At 35.6% G+C, this 20772-nt stretch overlaps 1 protein-coding gene across 9 annotated transcripts in view, besides 1 other annotated feature; it reads right to left on the bottom strand.

Moving 5' to 3' along the window:
* LUZP2 (leucine zipper protein 2) overlaps positions 1–20772 on the bottom strand; it is a 585586-nt gene that overhangs the window by 380678 nt on the left and 184136 nt on the right. The window lies entirely within an intron of this gene.
* Positions 3347–4546: an enhancer, noted in NCBI's record as "P300/CBP strongly-dependent group 1 enhancer chr11:24718961-24720160 (GRCh37/hg19 assembly coordinates)". NCBI's record gives its function as "activates an origin of replication core promoter dependent on BRD2, BRD4, P300/CBP, MED14 and CDK7 cofactors, with strong dependence on P300/CBP, by STARR-seq in HCT116 cells {active_cell/tissue: HCT116}" and the evidence as "EXISTENCE:reporter gene assay evidence [ECO:0000049][PMID:35650434]".

Below are 20772 nucleotides of genomic sequence, written 5' to 3'. Positions count from 1 at the left end.
AAACAACATGGGAATAGAAATAATTTTAAATGTTCAAGACATTAAATGCAGAACTGTGACTCCATGTTGCCATTTAGTATACTTTGTATTACAGGTTATAAAAACGAATCCCTTCTATGGAATGTTAAGGTGACACCTAAGATGGTCAAAGCCTCCCATAATTCAATATTATGGGAGTTTTTTCTGGTTGTACCAAAAAATAAACAATTGACAAATAATGTCACCTCTTAAAAAATCACTTAAAGAATGGGATGAGGTAGGATTCCCTCCTTCCTGAAAATGAGAGCTACTAACAAACTTGCGTTTATAAAATAGTTGATAAAAATCTTCTTCTGGACTGTACAAGAAGGAATACAGGAACCACTGTTGAGACACTATGTATAATATTAATCAGATTTGGTTTCTTTGTCTCGGGCTTCATCAGACGCTGGGTTCTCCGTGGTTTTACTCTCTTCGTTTTCTGCAGGTAAATCGTTTTTAGTTTCTTAGCCATTTTTGCCTATTTTCCCTTTGCTCTTCCCCTTTTCTCCTTTACATTCGTTTGTCTGAAGATTTATCCTTTCCTGCTGCCTTTTTGGCTTCATTTCCACTTTTGCAGGAGCAGATTAAGCTGACAATCATGAAGATCTCCTCTTGAGTTATTCCTTTACTGCCCTTTCAGCTGAACTGACCTTCCTCTTGGGCATCTGGGCAGCAGGGATGGTGATTGGCGGATGCCTGCCTGTCACAGCACACGAAGAGCCTTTGCAAAGCTGGACTGCCTGGTCTCTGCTGCTCCTTCTGCCAACCAAGCTCCTGAGTTCCACGGAGGGGTGATAACCAGGTGGAACAGGATTTAACCTCTGTTCTTTATAAATTACCCAGCCTTTGGTATTTCTGTATAGCAACACAAAAACAGATGAATACAGCCATACTACCACATTTTCCTTTTAAGTATTATTCACTGGGTTGACTGGTAAATCGGATGTTTTTTCTTCTTTTTCCCCACAAACCTAACTCTTGCTTTACTCACACCAAGTTGAAGAGCTCATTGAGGAAATTAAAGATATGAAGAAAATTCCTCATCTTCCTCAAGTCAAATCTACAATCCTTACATTCATCATATATATATCTTTTAATTTTTATTATAAACATATTTTCTTACTCCTGTCAAAGTTAGTGCCCCCACTGATTATAATGTCAGAATGAACCCCAACCAAATGATTGCACAGTCATTTCCCCAGCTCCCATTCTTTCATAAAACCATTTTAATATTATATCAATATCCAATAGTCCAATAAAATTGCTCCATTCAGCTTCACAAAAAACAAAATTACGGTACATTATCAATATATTTAGCACCAATTTTAAGTTTGGGGGATATAGCATTTAAAAAAAAAACACAATTTCTGCTTTCCTGGGTCATATATTCTTATGGCAGCAGAACATTTTATAAATAACTCCGTAAAATACATATGTTAGATTTTGCTAAGTGCTAGAAAGAGAAAGGCGTAGGAAGTGTCAGTATTGGGTGTGATTGATTTGAAATTAAGTGGTCTAGGAAAGTATCACTAAGCTGCTAATGCTTGAACTATGACCTAAAAAGTTCAGGAAAATAAGCCGGGCGTGGTGGCTTATGCCTGTAATCCCAGCACTTTGGGAGGCTAAGGCAGGTAGATCACCTGAGGTCAGGTGTTTGAGACCAGACTGGCCAACATGGTGAAACCCTGTCTCTACTAAAAATACAAAATAATCTGCCAGGAATGGTGGTTTGTGCCTGTAATCCCAGCTACTGGGGAGGCTGAGGCAAGAGACTTGCTTGAATCTGGGAGGCAGAGGTTGCAGTGAGCAGAGATTGCACCACTGCACTCCAGCCTAGGCTACAGAGTGGAAGTCCATCTCAAAAAAAAAAAAAAAAAAAAAAAGTTGAGGAAAATAGGCATAGAGTAATCTGAAAAAGAGTTTTCTTGGGAGAGGGAGTGACAAGTACAAATTTGAAAAGTAAAATTGTTCCTGGCTCTATCCTCCCTCATTGACAGGTCCTACCCTCTTCTGTTGTTGTTGGCTCTTACTCCATACAGACTCTGTATATTATAATTCCTTTGTGTTCAAAACTCTTCATTTCAACTATGCTTTGTCTCTTAGTGGCATCATACACTCCTATGAAATATCATCTCTATTCTATTAACTCCCAAATTATATATTTATATATGAGATATATATATATATAAATTATATGTATAAATATATATAGCACCTAAATATATTATGATGTGTGCGTGTGTGTGTGTGTCTGTGTATATATGTGTGTGTGTATATATATATATGGCCAAGGCTATTGTTCTTAGCTCCATATCTATATATCCATCTACCGTCACATTTCCATCTATATCTTAGGCTTACCATGTCCCCCCAAAAACTTCTGTGTGCTTTCCTTGTTTATCTCATCAGTAAAACAACCTTCCTAGTTCTCAAACAAGATACTCATATCTGATATATTCATTTTTCTACCTTTAGTATTCAATGCATCTGTAATGTCTGTCAATTTTAATTCCAAAATGTATTTCAAATATGAAGGAACTTCAAAAAGTTCATGAAAAATGTGAATTATGAAAAAAACTATGCAGGGAATTCAAAAGTTTTTGCACCAAAAATTTGTTGACCTCAGTTTGAAAAGGTCCCCTATCAAAGCAACATGGATTCTAGTAAAATTGAAGCAAGAACAAACATAAAATTTATGGTGAAGCGTGGGTGGAAGAAAGGTTAAATCACTGATGCTTTATAGAAATCTTACGGGGACAAAGCTTCAAAGAAATCAGTAGTTTGCAAATGAATAGAGAGAGTTATTGTTTCGTGTGTGTGTGTGTGTGTGTGTGTGTGTGTGTGTGTGTGTGTTTCTGTGGTTTGTTTTCATTTATTTATTTTCAGACAGTGTCTTTCTCTGCCACCCAGGATAGAGTGCAATGGGGCAATCACTGCTCATTGCAGCCTGACCTCCCAGGCTCAATCGATCCTCTCATCTCAGCCTCTAAAATAACTGGGACTACAGGTGTGCACCACCACAATCAGCTAATTTTTATATTTTTTTTGTAGAGACTGGGTCTCCAGTTGTTGCCCAGGCTGGTCTCAAAGTCCTGAGCTCAAGTAATTCACCTGCCTCAGCCTTCCAAAGTGAGAGGATTACAAGTGTGAGCCTGGCCTGGATAACTGGTTTTAAGAAGGGATGAGATGATGTTGAGGATGAAGCTGGCAGCTGCAGAAAACTGCATCAAGTTGCTAGAAGAAAAAAATTCTCTATTTGTGTCCTAATTGAAGAGAATCAACAATTATACAGCAGAAACACTAGCCAACACTAGCTTACACACTTCTGACTAAAAATTTAAAGTTGAGCAAATTTTTATGCAATGGATGCCAAAATCATTGCAGACAAGAGCCAAGCTTTCAATGAATATTTTAAACAAGAGAGATCAAAATCCTGAAGCCTTTTTTGAAGAACTATAAAAGGAGATAAAATATGGCTTTGCCAGTATGATTCTGAAGACAAAGCACAATAATATCAATGGCTACCAAAAGGTTGAAGTGTTCAAGTCAAAGCAAAAGTGCATCAATTAGGAACAAAGGTCCTAGCAACACTTTTCTGGGATGCTCAAAGTATTTCATTAAATTAATAATGTAAAAATACTGCATTAATATGGATAAAATTTCAGCACCCTCATTTTTGGAGGGTAGGCTGAATTTCTGGTTTTATCAGTTACAAAAGTAGTTTTACAGCCCAGTGGTTCTTCTTGCCTACTGCACAGTTAAGCCAATACACTGAGACAGCAGTGTTGCAGAAAAGAAAGAGTTTAATTATCACAAGACAGCCAAGTGGAATGACAGGAGATATTTCTCAAATCCACCTCCATCCCTAGCCTTGGAGGCTAGGATTTTTTAAGGACAATTTGGCAGGAAGGGGTCTAGGGAATGAGTGTTCCTGATTGGTTGGAGATTAAATCATAGGAACATCAGAACGGTCTTTGTGCATTGAGTCAGCTTCTGGGTGGGGGTCACAGGACCAGCTGAATCAGTTCCTTAGTGTGAGTCATGGATCCAAGTGGCGTCATTCAGTTTATCAGAATGCAAAAGTCTGAAAAATATCTCAAGACCAACCTTAGGCTTTATAATGGTGATGTTATCTGTAGGAGAAACCAGAGAAGTTGCAAATCTTATGATATCCAGCTACATGACTCTGGAGCAGTAAGACAACTAAGAAACAATGGCTGGTTATTGCTTAACTGCATTAGCAGAATTCAGACTCCTCTCAGATTTCTAATCTTGTCATCTTTGGTTAGTTTTACCAAGGCAGTTTTGGTTTCCAAATGAAGAGGGAGGTAGTTTTGGAAAGGAGCTATTATCGCCCTTGCTTTAAGATTAAACTACAAACTAAATTTCTTCCATGGTTATCTTGGCCTAGGCCTAAAAATGGGCAAAGGTAGTTAGCTTGTGAGGTTAGAGGCAAGATAGAGTCTGCTGTGTCAGATTTTTTACACTGTAATAATTTTTGCAAAGGAAGTTTCAGTGTCTTGAAGTTCTTGGAGCATATGTTAAAAAATGAAGTTTATACTTCTTATTTTTATCTTGTCATTCCATTTTTCTACAAACTTTTTAAAGCTCCCTCATATACATAGATCTCTTAACTTGCCTATTTACACTCTAATTCACCTTGGATAAAGCCATAACCTCCTAACTGGCTTTTCTGCTTACAATAATGACACTCCCTTCAATCAATTTTTCACAAGTAGCCTGGTTAATTTCTTTCAGAAATGTTAATTGTTAACTTGTTTCCTTTTGTTAGTTTGTTAATAGTATATGATGGCATCACAATCCATGGAAAAGAAAATCCAAAGTCTTTTCCTTGACCTTAACAGACCTTAATCATTTAGACCTTGCCTAATTTCATATTTAATCCATATATTTCTCCTAGTTTATGTAACTCTAGCCATGCTAATCTTTACCAAACCCAAGGTAACAGGTTTTTCTTTTATTCAAGTTCTTTACTGTTGTTTATGTATCTGGAAATGATTTTCTTCATCCATGCATAGCTAGTTCTCTCATGTATTTTAGATAACAGTATGGGAATTATCTCATCAAAGAGATCATCTACAACTTACCCAATCTCATGTTTTTTTTTCTTAAGATTCTGTTAATGTTGTTTATAAAAATTCTTATAATCTAAACTGTATTTTTTAGTTTTCTGTATTCAGATTGTTCAAAAAACCTATCAAACCTGATTTGTTTTTCATTGTCACATTTCATATCTTCCCAACTGAATTCCAAAGTTATACCTTTTTTTCTTTTTGTCATTTTATTCCAATCCCCTACCAGAGTCAAGAGTTCATAGCAGATGCACAGTAATTTTTGTTAACTATATAATAGAAAAAATGGATGAGTATGTTATTATGAAGTAATGAGAAATAAAATTATATGTGAGAGGAATGAAAGATACAATTTTTGAAAGCATCGGAGTTTGATTATATATAGGTAATTGTGGCAACTCCCAACATTATGCTCATTCACATTCTATTGTAAAGATAATTGAATTAACATTGTATGATAAGCTATAAAGGAGAAAAATAACAAATAAGCATAAATCTTTGTTTAATGAGTTTACAGTAACCCTTTTTGTTTGTCTGGTGACTCAATAACTTCAGAGACACATCCTTGTCAGAAGATTTTTTGGCAAATTCTAACCACATCTGGTTGAAATAGGTAAAATTATTTAGTCTTGTCCTTCCCCAAATAGTCAATCTGGTTTTCTTTAAGCACCATATCTGGCAAGACACTGGCCTATTTAAATACCAAGACCACTGTCCCCATGGCTTTCCTTTAACACAAACTAAAGTATGAAATCCTAAGCCTTGTGTGCAAGGTCTATTACTGTCCTTCCCAAATATAAGCTCTTCACAGTTCTAGAAGTTTCTGTTTCTGTTGAACCCACACATATACCGATCCCAAGTAATCTCTACTTCTGAACATATATTATATTCCAATATATCCTTCTATCTTAAATGCCTTATTTTCCCATTCTTTCCCCACCTCAAAGGCTTTTTTTTTTAGAAAAGTATATGCATATTTTAAATTTTCACTCGAATGCTATCTCATCCCAAAGAAATTTGGCTCTCCTCTGAACCTGTCAAAATCACTCATCTTATTATGTATTTTAGCATTTAAAAATCATACATCATTGTATTCTTGTTGAAAGTAACTCATACAATGTATACATTCTCTTTCACATTTACTTTCCCTCCTTTCCCAAAAGGTAATTAACTATTATTAATTTGGACCACATTTTTAGAAAGCATAAAGTTGAAAGGAAGATACTCCCATCTCTTCATATAATTAAGAAAATGAGTAAAAAAATTACAGTGAGATAGACAGATAAGTTCTCGTGTACTACAGTGTAGTAAGGTGACTATAGTCAACCGTATTATAGTGCGTATTTCAGAATAATTAGAAGAGATCATTCTAAATGTTCTCACCACAAAGAAATAACCAATTGTTGAGGTAAATGATATGCTGAGTACCATAATTTTATCATTACACAATGTATACATGTATCAAAACATCACACTGTATCTCATATATATGTATAATTATTATATGTCAATTATGAACAAAATTTAAAGATCACATTTTACTAATTCTAAAACTTGCTTTAGTCACTTACCCACATGTCTTTGGTATTATTTCATGTGAGAATGTATAAATGTTCCACATTTATTTAAATCTTGCATAATATTTCCTAGAATTGATATAACAATGGCTTGTACTGATAGACATTTAAAATGTATCCATATATTTTTTATTGCTAGGCAATGTTGAAATAGAGAAAACTTTTTGGACATAGTACTTCTTTTTTTAATTTTGGGATACATGTGCTGAACATGCAGGTTTGTTACATAGGTATACATGTACCATGGTGGTTTGCTGCACTTATCACCCTGTCATCTATGTTTCAAGCCCCGTATGCATTAGGTATTTGTCCTAATGCTCTCCCTCCCCTTGCCCCCTACACAGCCCCCCTGATAGGCCCCAATGTGTGATGTTCCCCTCCCTGTGTCCATGTATTCTCATTGTTCAACTCCCATGATGAGTGAGAACATGCGGCGTTTAGTTTTCTGTTTCTGTGTTAGTTTGCTGAGGATAATGGTTTCCAGCTTCATCCATGTCCCTGAAAAGGACACGAAGTCTTTCTTTTTTATGGCTGCATAGTATTCCATGGTGTATATATGCCACCTTTTCTTTATTCAGTTTATCACTGATGGGCATTGGGGTTAGTTCTAAGTCTTTGCTACCGTGAACAGTGCTGCAATAAACATATGTGTGCACGTGTCTTTATAGCAGAATGATTTCTAATCTTTTGGGTATATACCCAGTAATGGGATTGCTGGGTCAAATGGTATTTCTGGTTCTAGATCCTTGAGGAATCACCACACTGTCTTCCAAGTACTTCTATTAATTCTATAAGTATTTGCTAAAGTGAGTTCTAGACACCTGAGATAAATCATTGAAAACAATAAACACAAAAGACTGACATTACAGTGTTGAGTAAGGTAGTCAAGGTGAGTCTCTTTGAGACAGTAAGATTTAAGCAAAGGCCAAAGGAGGTGAAGAAGTTAGCTGAACAGATAGATATATGGGGAAATAACATTCTAAACTAAGAAAACAAAATAAATCCTTGAACTGGAACAACACATAATGTATTGGAAGAATATCAAAGAGATCTACATGGGCCAAGCAGTGAGCAACAGGCAAGTAGGAGGAGAAAATGTCAGAAGGTTTAAGAAGCTTAGAGCTTTTAGAATATTTAAAAACTGTTGCCTTTTACTTAGAGTGAAATATAAAGTTTTGAAAAGAAACAGAAATAATTGAGATTTCCTTATTTTATGGCCACTTTATTTTTTTCCAAATTGCTCTCTGAATTTTGCATTTTATATGTCCACCAATGATATGTATGAAAGCATCTCTTTTTCCTCATCCTAAATATATTTGGGTTATTATTAATCCTTTTAATTTTTTTCTTCAAATCTGTTTGCTCTACACTGCCTTTTTCTGGAAACTGGAGAGGGTAGGCATGATTTTGTACAATTATTGGTCATTGTTATATCTTCTCCATCTGTACACCTCTTTCATATTTTTACTATTCAGCTTTTAAATGTATTCATATATCAACTCCCATTTTACAGGCATAATGTACAGTGATTGTGTCTTTTGTCTCTGCTTTTCTTTGGTAAGTTCTATACTCCACTAAAGTCTAAGCTGCTTCTATGCAGTACAGAAAAAAATAAGTCTTTGTTCAAAGGATTAATAAATGAAGTGCATAGTTTCTTTTATGAAAAACAAAGATCTCTAGTTTTCCTTGTTTTATTGTTGAGTTTTAAACTTTCTTTGTGTGAAAATAAAACTTCCTGTTTGTGTATTTTTAATAAACATAGATTTAGTTTCCTTTTATTTGTAGGAATAATCATTTATTTTAATTAAGATAAAATATATGGAAAACAGTAACTCAATCTCTTAAATCATATATTGATTCTTCTGAAGTAATCATCTTTAAAACACTCTATCCTATCATTTATGAAGGTTTATTTCTTAGATAGTCCTGTGAAAAAGATCAGCTGCCTCTGTGATGTATTATGTTAAATTTCACAGAAAATATTGCCATTCTAGTGGCATAGTCATACAATAAATCACCCAATGCTGTATAAAAACCATGCTTAAAAACAACAACAACAAAATGATATTATTGAACAAGAATAAAAAATGCAGGAATACAGAAGAATGAAGAAAACTGGAAGAAAAATCAAACTGTAAAAATCAAACAATATACTAAATAAGAGAAAGCCAAGACTGTGAATTCTTAATCAGTTATTTCAATGGTACCTGGTATGGTAGCAAAAATATATTTTTGCTCACTTTTAGTGAAGAACATATAATCTAGGCTCATTTTGTAAAATCTAGGGAGAAACATAAAAAAAAACTTGTCAGTCAAAAATGAGGTAATGTCAAAGAAAAAAATGAAATAGCAGCTGTGAAAATCAAATAGACTCCCATATGCAGTTATTTGAAGGGAAAATGCCATGTGTTTTTATCCTTAAATGTATTTTCTTTGTTTTATGAATTTTAAGGTAATAATTTAATATTCTCCTAAATTAGGAATTAAGAGTAACACTTAGTTTAATTTGTGTCAACCTCTACTTAATTATGTATAGTGTAAGAAAAAACTCATTTATTTTTTTCTCAATATATAGCCAAATGGCACAATATGTGGCTGAAAAAACTTGTTGACTTTTTAGCTATGTACTTTTATGATGAAGAAACTGGGCTGAATGTAAAATAATGCCACTAAATATGCTGCAGAGATATCACATTTATTTCAATTTTTTGGTACTACGTGTAATGTTACAGTGTAACAAAAAAGTGTCCACTTTTTCTTTTTACAGTGAACAGAAAACTCATATTTTGGCTACTTTTCTTTCTTTGAAAACTTGGGTTTGAAAAGCTTAACTTCATGCTAAAAAAGACCGTATATTCTTAGAATAGCCTTTACTACTTTCCTTGTTTTTACTTGTATCACCTGCTTGTGACTTATTTGTTTTGCCAGCACTTATTAGTAAGTTGCAGGAACGTAGAACCTGATACGGCCATTTTTCAGCACTTTTTGCTTCTGCATAGGATGAGTTGGGGCCATTTGGGTAACCTGTGAAGCTCTGTAACAACAATTACTTCTTCACAACAAAACTCTTTTGATCTCTGTAAAATATTAGATTGCTTTAGAATTCCACCATCCCTGAAGAAGCTGATGCATAAGTGGGTGATAGTGAATATCAAGAAATAAGAATAGAAAAAAAAAACGTAAAATGCCATGTAAGCATGAATATAACCTATTCAGAAATAATCTATATGAGATCATTTTATCTGTGAAGTTTAGAAAACATATAATATTTTAGTTAGTTTTCCTATATAAAAATAATTGCATAATTAGTGCAGTAAGAATATTCCTATTCTGTCATGAATCTACTAAATGAATCTTTGAACTCTTTATTCTTGTGAATGCTGGCCTTATGAATCATGACCCCAAGTCACAAAAAATACATGAGTAAAAGAGTCCCATTTGGTAGCTCACAGGTTGCCACCCATAGAGTTAACATCAAAGAGTGTTCAGGGCCAGACATCACACATATAAATATTTTTCCAAAGTTATACAAGTTCCCAAATAACAACTTGTTAAGTCTCCTTCCACCAGTCCATCTTTCTAATACAATGGTACTCTTTGCTCTTTTTCTTATTTATTCATAACATTGTTCTCATAAAAATATCTTATTCCATAAAATTCTGAAATATTCCAAATTCTAGGTTTTATATACCTGAAGGAGACACTTACTTTACCTTCCTATCTGTCTATTTTAGGAGCAAGTCCAGATTTGGTGGGTCTTGAAATACAGGGGTTACTTTGAAAAAAAAAAAAACAGAATATGAGGGAAAAATGGGTATTTATTTGAAAGAGAAAAAAATGATTCACAAGTTTTACAAAACTAACCACAAGCATTTTCAAATTTATAGAAGTAGATACTATTTTATTAGTAAATTACCTAATATACCACTATTTTTGCTATTAGTATTAGCTTAGAGATGAATATGTAAATTTTTTTAAGGGAACACTAATTTTGTGAGGTAATTTCTCTGCATTGTAGGTAACTTCTCTACAATTTTGACTGAGATTTCCAGATATCTTCAGGATAAAACGTATCAGGTACTGAACAACATGATCTGAAACAATGGACTGCTTAGAACATGTGGCAATACACATGTTGTTTGTTGTATTGTTACAGATTTTTTGCTGTAAAAAAACATAGGAATTCTGATAAATTCTATTTCCTGACATTCCCATTGACACAATTTAAGAGAATCTATATGTTTATAATTATGAAAACTGCATTATTTTTAAACAGAAAACAACATCTATGTTGTTGTTAAACAGAAAACATCTAGACATTGATGAAAACTGAATTATCATCTTAAAATTTGTGCTCTTAAATGAAGCAGTTTACAAATTACATTTTCTGGTTCTGTATCTTTCAAAAATTATTTCTCTCCCACTATGAGAAATTTTGGCTGTTCAGCATCTAGAACATGTTCAGTTCCTGTTTAGTCTACTAGCCTGTACCTTCCAATCATAACCCCAGAAGCTGGTAGAGTTGGTGATAGGAGTATACTATTCTCACTACAGTTGGTAGAGAGTAACATAATTGACTGTGAGCTATATACACATACTCCGTTATATAGCCTCAACTCAACTTCTTCTTTTAGATGGATCACCAAAATTCTATTACAAAAATAATATTAGACACAAAAGGAAGCAACTTTGAAGGATATCAGAGTGGAAATAAATTGTAATCTTAACCAAATGAAGTTTAAATATTTTACTTTAGCAAATATTACAAAAATCCAAGAACATGTGAACACATTGATAGGATACTTCTCAGGACCATAAAATAAGTTTGTGCAACAGGAGGATCCAGAGCTTAGGTCTCTAACTTCCCTGGAAATCACCTTCTATGAGCTTTTGTAAAAGTGAAATTAAAACAAAATCTAGAAACAAAACTGCTTTAAACAAACAAATAAACCCTGGTATGCAGAGTCTATTCATTAAAAGCCTTCTTACCTTGAAGACTTGTAGCAAGGCCTTGGAAAAGAGACTTTTTATTTTTTTTCCAAAAGTTTGAGGTATCTGACATTTTAATTAAAAATAATAATGTGATTATTAATTTAATGTAATATGTTGCACTACAAAATTAAAATCTTATAAAAATTTAACATAGTTACTATAATGAGGGGAATCCTATATCACAGAGATAAGATAATTGATTTCTCATCTAATCTATTCCTCCCATTAGGCCAGTGTCTTAGCATCCCTGCTAAAAATAGAGAAATACATGTATAAGAAAATAGCTAAACACCTTTTCCAGACATTCTTAGATATTCTCTAAGAATCCTCACTACCCTTATTTTTACAGTTTATAAAATTCTGGAAAGAAAATTAGTAAAGGGGTTGAGAAGTAAGAATTTGTCTACATAGGATACAGAGAGAAATATTTAAAAAATCAGGTAGCAATGGAAAGCGTTATGAAAAAGGAGTGAATGCTTAAGAAAGAACAGTTTTGGGTCAGGAACATAACTCAGTTCTAAATTGTCAAAGATAAAATAATGTATATCTATAGGCATATAACATGGGGGAAATTAAAAATAAAGTTAGATAAAGGTCTGTCTGTTAAAGTAGGTAGCAGTTCAGACATGAGCAAGACAAAAGAGTCCTCCCCAACCCCACCCAGTCTCAGGAATGTCAGGCCACTATCAAGTGATGGTCAAGCAGTTGTTAAACTGGCTCTCTAAAATAGAAATTGGTCACAGCTGGTGCCAGGAGAAAACAGTCTCCCAATAGATAGAAAGCACCTGGAGCTGGCGATCAGCCGCTTCCCAATAAGCACTCAGGAGCTGGGTGAGCAGGCTCAAGCATACGCACTAAGAGACAAAATAACAGAGTTTAATGGGTATAGGACCCTTCTCTGAGAATGCTCAATTGGTAAGAGAAAAGTGCTTCAAGTAAGGATGCATACAACTTCAGTAAATACACTGTGCATGCTGTCCCTTCCAAATGCTTGGAGGCCACTGCACATGTGGACAGCCTGCTCCAAGGGAAGAATTAGGGGGAAAAAAATGCAAACCTTGGAACCATGCCAATGTATAAAAAATCCCCAATTCAAGGGCTGGACAGGACTTGGATCTCTCAAGTCCCACCCTTGGCTCTCTTACAAGTGTACTTTACTTCCTTTCATTTCTCCTCTAAAACGTTTTCATAAACTTTCACTCCTGCCCTAAAACTTGCCTCGGTCTCTCCCTCTGCCTTATACCCCTTGGCTGAATTCCTCCCTCCAAGGAGACAAGAATTGAGTTGCTACAGACTCGTACAGATTCACCACGGGTAGTATGTTGACTACAGTGAGACAATACAGGGAGGGAGGGCTGAGATCTTTAACTAGATCTTCTAGCTGGGAGATGGGTTAGATTTGAGAATGGGATAGCAGAGCCTACCTCAGGTTGTATAAATGGCTACAAAGTGTGGTACCCAAGAGGTATGATGACACGTGAGAGATGAACTCCCAGTAATATAAATGATATTAGGGCTCTCTTATGTGACTACAGATTTCTCAATAAATAAACAAAACAGGAAACCAGGTACTAATTATATGCAGTGATCTACCAGACCATTGAGTCAATAGTGGTAAAAGTGTCAGCAAGTGGTAGGTTCCAGTTTCTGAGCCTGAAATAAGATTTTAAGAGATCCATCAAAAAGTGAATAAAAAGGTCATACCTGGGAGTTGGATAGTAGCCTGCTTATCATGATATTTATGACAGAGATCTACTTGTCAAAATCAATTATAATGCAAAGACAAAAATCTCAAATGTCTACTTGAACTCCAATTATCAGACTTTCAGGAGAGGCACAGAATAAATAACAGAATGCTATTCTTGACTTTCTCACGGTAGTTCCCCAGTGCTTCCAAAACAGTCTTCCTGAGGGTAAATCCTGACCATACAATTCTCTAGCTACATAGTATTGGGCAAGTGCTTAATGTCTCTGTATTTGTTTCTTTTATTAGTAAGATGACGATCACAATGGTAACTGGGTTCTTGTGAGGACTAAATGAGATTATGTATATAAAGCATTAAGACAGTGTAAGACAGTATGTGACACTTTGTAAACATCACTGAATGCTTGTTTTTGTTGTTTCTCTTTCAGAATGTTTCTCTTGTTATTATCATTATAAACTTAACTCCCTGAAAAAGAGAATATACCTGACCTTGACCAGTGACTAGCTCAAGGGGAGAATGACATTGTTTGGCAGAGACAGAGAGAGAGAGAGAAAGAGAGACAGAGAGCCAGAGAGAGAGAAAGAGAGACTTAGTGAAGCCAGGCTCCAAGCCGAAACTTGTCTCCAGGCAGGAAACTAAGGGGGTGCTGTGCCCAGGAAGAGAACTTAGAGAAGTGAGGCTTGGGTAAGCTCTTCTTTTGAAAAAAATATGTTAATGCCTACCAGCTTTTTAGTGATTTCTTATCTCAAGCACTAATCTAATTGATTCAAATATATTTAGATCTTCAGACCAGCTCTGGGGAAAAGGCATTCAGATGTTACTGAGTTTCAGTTATGCCTGAGCATGAGTGGAGGAAGTCAATGATGCCAGGAAATAGAGTGGGGAAAATCAAGACTAAACTGGCACAATTACTCCAAGTAGGGGTGCCAAGTTTGCAAATAAGTTCTGCCTTTTGTAACATTTGAACTTAAGAAAGATATGATGATCACAGTTAAACTCCACCAGTTCAAACTCTGTCTCCGCTTCTTAGCGGCTCTGTGACCTAGGACAAGTTATACAACCTCTCTAAACCTTAGTGTGTAAAACGGACCTGATAAAGGTACCATTCTCACAGGTTTATTACAAGGATTAAATTCATTTAATCCTCATATTTAAAACAGGATCAAGCACATAGTAAATTCTGTGTAATTCTACCTCATACTTTGTTTATCAAGAATGATTTTTGCCTATGACAATGATTTCCCTACTTTTGAAATTCAAAGACTGATAAAATTCCCGAAAAGTATATTTAGTCATCAGTGTAAGTTTCAAATTTTTTTTTTATTTTGTCACACAAGGGCATTTAAAAATCAATGATCATTTTATGCATATGTCATTTTATACATAAGGACATTTTAAATCAAAATGTTAGGGACCTAAAACTACAGTAAGAACAGATATCTCTACATAAAGATTTTTGTTTAAAACAGACCAAATTTAGCTGCATGGACAACTCTGTAGTGTAATGTTTTTCTTCTCTTTCCTAATAATATCTCAGACACTTAAAATCTTAATCATAATTCATTTTATGTGGCACAACACTGCTGGTCGCCTTGGGGCACCAGTGACCAAGTTGTCTTTGGGTAACCAGTGGTCAAATGATTGCTAAAATTATGCTGGAAAGTTTCAAATATAAATTTTCAATGTTAACAAGCAACTCTCGGGGAAGCAGCATGAGCAGGGTCAAACCTTTAACATAAAATGTTGAAGGGCAGTCATGAGGTGAGAAAGTTAAAGCATAGGTAAGTTAATAAAAATTATATAGTATTCACCTAAAAGTGGCTGAATTTTGGAAATCGCTGTTCTCATTAGCACTGGACAATTTCTACTGCCAACAGAAATAGACGCAAGCATGAGAGAAAACAAACTCCTAAGAATTAGTAGGTATTCCCTTTATAAATAACAGATGTGAAGCTATTTAGGTGGGCTGCAGAGAAGAGATTGAACGGTGTGGCAAATGCAGATGAATTTTGAACAGATATACTTACACATTTAGAATAAAAACACAGTAAGAGAGTGATCTTAAAAGATGCATTTGCTGGGATGTTTAACTGTACGAATGGGGGACAGGGTCTTCTGAGGACATATTTAAGGTGGCTTTTTTATTGTATTCTATTACTGGCATGGAAGTATCCCAAAGATAGCTATGAATTGCTTATGTCATGGCACTGCCTTGTGAGCAACATGCTCCAAGCACTAGTTGTCACTACAGTGACTTGGAGAATATGACCTAGAGAAGAAAATGTTAGAAACTGCCACAATCCACTACAAATGATAAAGTAAGCAACTTAGCCAATTTTTTTTTTTTTGCAGAGTTCACTTTTTCCTTCAAATTCTATCAAAAGCATGACTACAAATGCCTTATAAGATATCCATTCACAGTATTTTACTGCATACTGAAAATATAGCTTAAGATAGAATTTCCCCATCTCAGTAATTGCCAGCATGTTTGGCTTACTCAGTCCTTCAAGAAAGAAGAGTGAAATGATTTCGTAAATTTGAGAGGAATGATTACAACACTATATAAGAGTGTCAATCAAGCATGATACTCCTCATTTCTAGTTCAACTAAATATAGGATAATCTAATAATGCTTTGATGCTTCTTCAAAAATATCTGGGAGTAGGTAAGGAAGGACATTAGGTGGCCAAGACTCACAATTAAATTTCTTAGGAAACTATTTATTTATTCATTCAACAAGCATGTATTATCTCTACCATAAATAACATAAATAATTGTTGTTGTAGCACTAATGACACATTAGTGAACACAGCATAATCTCTGTCCTGAAATATTTCTTAGTTTATGATATTTCATGGGAAAACCATGACAAGAAGTCATTTATCATGATCAATGAAATGACTGAGGCATAACCCAGATGCTGCAGGAGTGGAATGAGTAGATTCCCAAGTAGGCTTTGTTGGGCGGGCAGTTACAGAGATTTCTAGGAGGAGAATGTTTGATATTAGTAACAGTGTGGGAGAGGAGTAAATGTTCACCTTGTCATAGCCAGAAGACATAGCACATGCAGAGGAACAGTGGGAAGAACATGTGGTATCTGCAGGTTTGCAGGGTCACGCTAACATTTCAGTGTGCTGTGTGAGGAGGGTGTATGTGGGGTAGAGGTAAGAGATGAGAAGAGATAGTAATTAGGCAGGTGCAAGATCATGAAGAGCTAAGGACTTTAACGTTGGTTTTTAGTTGCAGGTAGTCACTTGCCATGCCCCTAGAATTCATCTCAGCATCAATCTGTAATGTGCAAAGTGCTTTTCAAAAGAAAAACAGATAAATTTGGTTTTCTCGATGGCAGCTTTGGTAAGAAAGTTGGCTTTGGAAGTTATGTAAGGTTAAGTTAAGGATGGGCCCTAGAAACTGTGACAAGAGGCCAGGATCCTAGGAGAAAAGGCAGCCAATTAGTGACCCAACAATTAGACAACTCTCTCCCATAGAGAAAACTTGGATAGATATGGAAAACACACACACACACACACACACACACACACACACAGAGCAAAATACAGTAAGTGGTGACACTTTAAGAGAAGCACATAAGCATCCACTTTAAGAGAAACACATAAGCATCCAAAATGAGGGAAAACACTCCCAGCTACCGAAATCCAGGAAGGCTGCATGGAGGTAACTTTTAAGAATAACTATTGCTTTATGTTAGCCCTGATACAGGATCTGATATGAATCATTTGAGTGGTGATCCCATAAATTCCTAGTTGGGGAGCTGGGAAGTGAGACAGGAAGAAAAAGGAAACCAATTAAGTTGACTTAAGGAGAAGATTGACATTGTGAGCAAATGGAGAGCAAGACAGCTGGAGACCTCCACTGGCTGGCAAAGCAGGCACTTCAGAGTTGTCCTCCCATAAGGGCAAGAAAACCAGGATACTTTTCCCTCCAATTTCTATCTGTTATTGATTGAGCACCGTTCCTTTGGTTCCTATGGCTTCAGCTCCCTGAAGCTTACAGCACACCATCAGCGTGCATTTGAATCATGAGTGCTCAGGGCACAGAAGAAACATTATCTGCCACAGCCACAAAAATTGGATTAGTCCTAAGAAACCAGAGGCAGAAATCTGTAGGACAGAAGGAACACTACAAGCAAATGCACATCCATGAAAGAGCTTGGGAGAAACCAGGGAAATATGTAAATTAGTTGTTGTGAAGGCTAAAGGAAGTAAAGGGAAGTTCAGATGAAATAGGATTGAAAAATGATCATCTAGAGGCCTAGGTTAAAAAGTTTATTTTTTTTCCTATGGGCAATTAGGATCAAAAGATAGTTTTGAGCAGTAGAGTGATGCAAACAAATTAAATATTCATAAAGCTCAGACTGATGATCAGGTGATGAATTTAATACAAGGAAAAGGGGTCTGATTGGGAGGCCTATTAGAAGGCTATTGAAAACATTATAAAGAGAAGTTTTGAAGATTGGACCTGAGATTGAAGCAGTAGAAATTGAGGGGAGGAGAACAAAGGAGAGGTATTATACAGGTATATTTCACAAGGTTTGACTAATATTTTGATATAGAACATATATCAGGCAAAATAAATGATTGCTATGTGAGTCTGTCCCCCGAGATCAAGAGGTCAGTATGGGATCTTACATACTTATTGGAGGTAACAATAAAGGGATGGTGGGTTCTGTTTTGGTTTTCTGTGTTTGCAATGCCAGTTGAACCTTCAGACAAACAGCATGAACTGAGATTTATCATAATAGACCTATTAAAGGAAGTGAGATGAGTCAGCTTAGGGGCAGTGGTAAGTGCAAGAGGCACTCCTGCTGAGTAGGTGATGTGTAGGTGCCATTGAAGAGAAATATAAATTATGTCCATGAGGTCAAATAAACCAAATCTCCTTAGTTAAAGGCAAATGTCTCTAATGAATGAATTGATGGATTAATGAGTATCATGATTAAATATGCTATGTAAAGTATGGTATGGAAGCTATCATCTAATTTTGAAGACTGATGTAAAAAGAGAAGAAAAATAAATTATGCAAATTTAAGAATCTATATTAATGACATCTTAAAATTATTACCACTAAAAGTGAGTAGAAATGAATGTTGAAATATAAAGTGAAATTAGATGAACATGTTTTCAGTAAATTGTCAGATTATCAGAGGAGTTTCAGGAAATCAACACTCCTAAATAAAGAAGCCCCCTAAATCAGTCAAGCTGATCTTCTGTACTACCTACTGATATGTGACAAGAATCGTGTCATTAATTCAACTCCAAAATAATCCTTTAAGTACTCACAGTCTTTAATTTAGTCTTTGCTCAAGAAGTTTAGAAATGACTAAAAAATGTAGTGAAATGAAGCAGCATAAGGTTCAACACTTCTCTTTGTCTAGCCTGCCGGCCTGTCTTCCAATAAGTGAAGACAATTCTGTAAATATTGGTTACAAAACCAAAAAAGGAAAACTGAAAAGCTTGGAAAGATCTTTAATCTGCCATCTCCTGAGTAGTTAAGAGCTGATATGATGTTCAATGAGAGCACATATTTGGCTTTCCCACAATCACTAACATTCTCTTTTTTTTCTTTGAGACAGCCTCACTCTGTCGCCCAAGCTGATCTCGGCTCACTGCAACCTCTGCCTCCTGAGTTCAAGTGATTCTCCTGCCGCAGCCTCCCGAGTAGCAGGGACTAGAGGCACGCGCCATCACGCCCAGCTAATTTTTGTCTTTTTAGTAGAGATGGGGTTTCACCATGTTGGCCAGGATGGTCTCGATCTCTTGATCTCGTGATCCACCTGCCTTGGCCTCCCAACGTGCTGGGATTACAGGCATGAGTCACTGCACCTGGCCACTAACATTATTATTCTTAGTTCTTAGTCATCAACACCTTCCTTAATATGGATTTAAAATATATGTGTATGTGTGTGTGTGTATATATATGTGTATATATATATATACACATACACATATATATACACACACACACATATATATATATAAATTCAGTAGGGTTCAGTGTGTATATATACATATACACACTGAACCTACTGAATTTGCATTTTTGCATTTTTTTTTTTCCAAGGTGGAGTCTTGCTCTGTAACCCAGGCTGGAGTGCAGTGGCACGATCTCAGCTCACTGCAACCTTTGCCTCCCAGGTCCAAGCCATTCTCCTGCCTCAGCCTCCCGAGTAGCTAGGATTACAGACACTTGCCACCGTAGCCGGCTAATTTTTGCATTTTTAATAGAGACACTGTTTCAGCATGTTGGCCAGGCTGGTCTCACACTCCTGTCCTCAAGTGATTTGCCCACCTAGGTCTCCCAAAGTGCTGGGATTACAGGTGTGAGCCATGGCACCCAGCCTTGCTCTACTCTTTTAACATATAATGTATTAGTTGCACAGTCTTTACCACATTTACAGTAAAAGTTGATGAAGGTGGAATATCTTAGAACTATTTTCAATCGTCATTAACTCAAGACTGTTTTTCAGATGTGCTGAGATAGACACCTTTGCTTATTCTGAGATAAACTTTTTAAAATGTTATGTAGATAAGGAAAATCAATGGAAATAATTTGTGATAGTATAAGAACTCTTCTTTCTGGCTAAAGAAAACCCACAAATGTTTCTGCATGCATGTAGATGTTTTGCATTTTAACCAAAGTACCTGTTAGCATGGGGTGATTTTTTTTATTTCAAAAATGCAATTTATTCCTGGAAAAATGCCATAAAATCCAATTAAATTAGATTTGTGATGCTTGCTGAACTAATGTAAATAGTGTATAGTACAAAATAAATTGAATTTTGAAGAGAGAAAAGTGAAGTTTATAACATTTCATATTAATGTAAGCATTGAAAATATCCAGTCTATTAATTCAAGATGTGTTAAAAATGAAGCTAATTATCCTTAGTGTAAACTAGATAGCTCATTTCTTTATGATGAAGGAAAGACATCGATAAATCCAAAATACATTTAAGACTACAATTAGAACAGATATGTTAGATAATTTACCAATATGTGATACTGAAAATCTAATATCTATTTCGTTCCTACCACTGTCTCCTATGCATGAGGAAAGAAAGGTAAGGACATTATAAATAGAAACTATAGGAGCCATAAGGGTGAGAATTCCTTAGATTTGAAAAGCTCAAAAGAAAGATCTCCTCTTACACTTATAACTTGAGTAATTATTAACCTCCTAAGTCTTTCTTAGAATGTCTCTATGAATGAATGTCTGAGAAGGCTCCCAAGATCACAGAACGTTAGAAACATGGTCTTAGAGAAATAAGGAAATTAGGCCGGGCGCGGTGGCTCACACCTGTAATCCCAGCACTTTGGGAGGCCGAGGCGGGTGGATCATGAGGTCAGGAGATCGAGACCATCCTGGC

This window comes from Homo sapiens, chromosome 11 (genome assembly GCF_000001405.40).
Source record: "Homo sapiens chromosome 11, GRCh38.p14 Primary Assembly".
NCBI classification, from domain to species: domain Eukaryota; kingdom Metazoa; phylum Chordata; class Mammalia; order Primates; family Hominidae; genus Homo; species Homo sapiens.
This window is presented reverse-complemented; position numbering and strand designations above follow the sequence as displayed.